At 41.2% G+C, this 5,238-nt stretch overlaps 1 annotated feature.

The window, feature by feature from the left end:
* Positions 8 to 57: an enhancer, noted in NCBI's record as "active region_14763". NCBI's record gives its function as "activates an Ori minimal core promoter by ATAC-STARR-seq in GM12878 lymphoblastoid cells {active_cell/tissue: GM12878}" and the evidence as "EXISTENCE:reporter gene assay evidence [ECO:0000049][PMID:35858748]".

Below are 5,238 nucleotides of genomic sequence, written 5' to 3' on the forward strand. Positions count from 1 at the left end.
ACAGTGGAGGGAGCGTCTACCGAACCCTTCAGGAATCTATGTTTTTACATTTAATAATACTAAAATATAATCATTTTATTTTTAAATTTTGAGTTCTTTCTCTGCCTATAAGGCCTGAAGGATCTGTTCCCCCCACCTCTCCCCTTTTCTCTGTTTTTGTTTTGTTTTGTTTTGTTGTTTTGAGACGGAATTTCGCTCTTGTCGCCCAGGCTGGAGGGCAATAGCGCGATCTCGGCTCACTGCAACCTCCACCTCCCGGATTCAAGCGATTCTCCTGCCTCAGCCTCCTGAATAGCTGGGATTACAGGCGCCAGCCACCACGCCCGGCTAATTTTTGTATTTTTAGTAGAGACGGGGTTTCACCACGTTGGCCAGGTTAGTCTCCAACTCCTGACCTCAGGTGATCCGCCCTCGGCCTCCCAAAGTGCTGGGATTACAGGCGTAGTCCCCTTTTCTCTTTGCCCTCATTTCTTGCCCATTTGCTTGGCACATTTTCCCCATTCTCCAACAGATCCAGCAGACTCCAGCCCCTGGTCGTTTGCAGGTGCTCTTTGCACTCCCTAGCAGCCTCTCCTGAGGGATTCATTTGGCTCTCACCGTCTGGTAATTAGGGGAATATCATCTTCTCATGAGGCATTGCCCCACCACCCGTTGTGAACTTGCAAGCAAACGCTTCCCTCCCCACATGCTCTGTGCCTCCCCCTTCATCTTTTATTTTTTTCTCTAAAGAACTTTTCACTATCTAGCACACTATATATTTTAATTATTTATTTGGTCTACTGTCCGACCTACCACTACGATGTCAATTCCATAAGGAAAAGCATTTTATCGATGTTGATCACTGCTGCATCCCCAACACCTAAAAAAAAAAAAAAGAGAGAGACCTGGCACATAATAGATGCTCAATAAATATTCGTTGGCTAAATAAAGGTTCCTGTCTCTGTATTAAACACTTTAATATTTCATTACCAAGCCCAATCAGCCTATGAGGTAGTTGTGTTAATTTTCATCCTACCAGGGAGGTAGCTGAAAATTGGAGCCCTGCTGTATGAAAATACATAATTTTTTAGTTTTTAAAATGCTTGTCAAAGCACTCCTGTAGTTTTCTTCACGTAAATTCTGACCTTTAAAAACAATGAATTATTACTATTTGAAATGTAATCTCTATCCCCAAAGCTTCTTATTATTGGTTATTGTGGTTGATCTTTTAAAAAATACTTATTTTGTATCTGGTTAACCTACTGCAATGTTATTAATTCTTACAATACTCCAGTTGACTCTCTTGGCTTTTCTATTGAGACAGTTATCTACAATTTCATCTTTTCCTTACCAGTATTTTAAATTAGACATTCTCTTTCATGTTGGATTATATTGGCTACCATTTCCAAAAAAGTATTACTAAAAGAGGCATTCTTGTTTGTGTTCTTTTAATGGACATATCTCTGAAGTTTGAGGGTTAAATGTGACATCGGTTTCTACATTGAAGTAAGTAGCTTATTTTTTTAACCTTTTATTTTGTAAATTTCAAAACAAAAGTAGGGACTCAATTAATGACTCCCCAAGACCTATGTCATCCAACTTAAATATTTTCACTCAGTCTTGTTTCATCTGTATTTCCACCTATGTTGTGCATTTGAGACCAAGATGTTGAACTCTAGAGTCCATGCTCTTAACTTTTACATTATGTTGCCGCTTGTCTACACATCAGTATCTTTCCTCTACGTGCAAGCAATACTAAGTTTGCAAACAAAACAGAAAAAGTTCGTATGTATTCACAAAAAAGCAAAAAAAAAAAGCCTTATAAGTAAATTTAGTAAGATAAATATGTCATCTGAAGAAACCCTCAAAACCTTACTGAGAGAGAAAAATGGACAAATAGAAATGCTGTGTTGCTAGCTGTGTGTTGTAAAGATGTAAAATCTTGCAGATTGATCTGCAAATACAAATATGACAAAATCAGAATGGGATGCTTTGAGTGTTAGGTCGTCTTCCTTTTTTCACTTCATTTATTTTTCTGCTAATTGTTTAAGATATTCAGAAAATAGGCCAGGCGCAGTGGCTCACACCTGTAATCCTAGTACTTTGGGAGGCTAAGGCAGGCCAATCATGAGGTCAAGAGTTCAAGACCAGTCTGGCCAACATGGCAAAACTCTGTGTCTACTTAAAAAATACAAAAATTAGACAGGCATGGTGATGCACGCCTGTAATCCCAGCTACTCAGGAGTCTGAGGCAGAAGAATCGCTTGAACCTGGGAGGCAGAGGCTGCAATGAGCCAAGATCACGTTGCTACACTCCATCCTGGGCAACAGAGCAAGACTCCATCTCAAAAAAAAAAAACAATTTTCAGAAAATAAAGCGTTAGTACTATGTAATGTAAAACTGACTTTGTTTATCTGTCTTTTGTTTAGTCTTTTTTATTTTCTTTCACAATGAACAAGGTGGTAATGTTTACTTCCAGGAACCTATAAATCCTGACTTAACCTGAATATTACAGGGACTTTAGAAGAGTTACCACTGCTGGGCGCAGTGGCTCACGCCTGTAATCCCCACACTTTGGGAAGCCGGAGCAGGAGGATCACTTGAGCCCAGGAGTTTGAGACCAGCCTGGGCAACATGGTGAAACCCCGTCTCTACAAAAAATACAAAAATTAGCTGGGCCTGGTGGCACAAGCTGTAGTCCCAGCTACTCAGGAGGCTGAGGCAGGAAGGATTGCCTGAGCCCAGGAAGCAGAGGTTGCAGTGAACCAAGATTATGCTACTACACTCCAGCCTCAGCGACAGAGCCAGACCCTGTCTCAAAATAAATAAATGAATAAATAAAAATTTTAAAGAGTTACCACTCAGGAACATTCTAGAAAGATGCCTATCTAATCTAGAGATTTATCTGTCAACTGTCGGGAAGAGCTGAGACCAAAGTTTATATTAAGATTCTGTTTATTGGCCATGAATTGGATAAGGGCTCAAGATACAGTGAAGAGCAAGAAGATTATGAATCCATTTACTATAAATACTAGAAAACAAAGTAAGAGTAACGAGAGGGTAAAAGGGCATGATCTGTCTCTAGGATGTCAGGGGGAGGGGGACATTTCTTGGCAGGGAAGAGGAAAGTTCTCAGGGTTCAAATAGGGTGGTGTTTCTGGTACTACTGAGTGCAACCCTTAAGATCCTAATTCCGGTCTCTTGTATCACATCTAATGATTAATTTTTAAAATCTGAATTAATGTTATCATCATTATGATAGCCATTCAGCTCCAAGGATAGCAACAACGCATTCTGAAAACTCTTCATTTCCAGGAGTTTTCAGTGTTGGTTTCCCCCTGTGTTAACAGTCCTTTTTTGTCTCCTTTGCTTGATCTCTCCTGTAAACATCAGAGGAACCCAGGAATCAGCTGTCAGCCTGTCCCTTGCCTTGTCTTCATCCACTCTGCTTGGGGTTGACATAACAGGCCTATTGCTCAAACTCTGTAAGTTCCCCAGAAGGTCCTGTTTTCCTGACTAGCCTTTGGGCAGCTCTGGGAACTGAGCTCTCATAATGTTCTATCTGGTAAGAGTGCTTTTGTTTGCCTGAGGCCTTGAGCCATGCTGTACCACTTTGTCCAGATGGTTTATACTAACAGTGTAATTTATGGAGGAACATCTGCTTTCCTTCTAGGAGTCTGGAGCTTCAGTGACTGACCCTTTATAAAAACCATGGACACCCAGGTTTAGGTGAGCTTCCCTCGATGGCAATGCTTCACACACGTTGTCACACATCATTGCTGGGGGATTTCCCATGTGCTGTGGTTTGGATATTTGTCTCCTCCAAAACTCATGTTGAAACTTAATCCCCAGTGTGGCAATATTGAGAGGTGGGGGTTTTTAAGAGGTGATTGGCTCATGAGGGTTTTGCCTTCATGAATGGATTAATCCATTCATGGACTAATGGATTAACGGGTTATCATGGGAGTGGAACTGGTAGCTTCATAAGAAAAGAAAGAGAAACATGAGCTAACATGTTACCACACTCAGTCCCCTTGGCATGTGATTCCCTGCACCACTTCAGGACTCCACAGAGAGTCCCCACCAGCAAGAAGTGCTCTCACCAGATGCAACCCCTAGACCTTAGACTTCTAAGCCTCCATAACTGTAAGAAATAAATTTCCTTTTTAAAACAAATTACCCAGATTTAGATATTCTGTTATAGGCCAAAGAAAGCAGACTAATACACCATGTGACTCCACTGAAAGAGAACACTTGGAAGCTGGTGCAGGGTATCCTCCAGACTTCACCCCATGCACCTTTTCCCTTTGCTAATTTTATTCTCCATCCTTTTGCTGTAATAAACTATAACCATGAGTATAACAATTGGGTCCTATGAATTCCTCTAGAAAATCTTTGAGCATGAGGTGGTCTTGGGGACCCCCCTGACAGAGGAGCTCATCCAGCCCCATAACTTTAAGTCCCACTGACAACTCTCAAATGTGTATCTCCAGCCATGATCTGTCTAGATTTTTATGAACAATTGCCTACTTGATTCTGCAACTGATTCTTGACATGTCTAAATTCTTGACATGAAGCAAATTCTTTATTTCTCTCCTTATCCCAAAGTTTCTCAGAAAGTGACCTGCCAATCATCCAGTTGCCCTGGCAAGAAACCATGGAGATATCCTTGTCTCCTAACTCTCTTTACCTTCAGCAAATCTCATTCTGACTCTCTCCGCCCCTGCAGTTCTCAGGATTCTAAGCATTTCATGCCTACCTCTCCTCAGGAGCCTCAATCCCTCACTTCACTACGTGTTTTCTCCTTTTATTAAGAGCTCTTAATTTCTTAAGAGCTCCTTGTTCCTTATCTTCTATCATGATTTGAAAAGCCACTTCTTCTCTGACACCTGTCTTTGTCCCCTACTCCTCTCTGGCTGACTCAGACTCACTCTTCTCTCTGGAGTCCACCAACAGTGTTTGCTCATCCTCAGCCTGCAACTATGATATCCTAAGCTGTTCAGTCTCAAACCTTGGTCCTCTAACTCTAGATCCACGGGCTGTCATTTTTACCCTTACTATTGCTTTGAAAAAAAATATGAGTCAAAATCTAAGATTCTATGGAAGCCAGGGCCTGACCAACCCATTGCAGTAGAACATCACAAGGTCTACAGAGATGACAGAGAATGACTGGCTTATAATATGCACTTAATAAATGTCATTAAATATATGATCAAGCATGGTTTCTCTAGGACTCCTGGAGAAAAGATCTCTGCTTC

This window comes from Homo sapiens, chromosome 19 (genome assembly GCF_000001405.40).
Source record: "Homo sapiens chromosome 19, GRCh38.p14 Primary Assembly".
Lineage (NCBI taxonomy): Eukaryota > Metazoa > Chordata > Mammalia > Primates > Hominidae > Homo > Homo sapiens.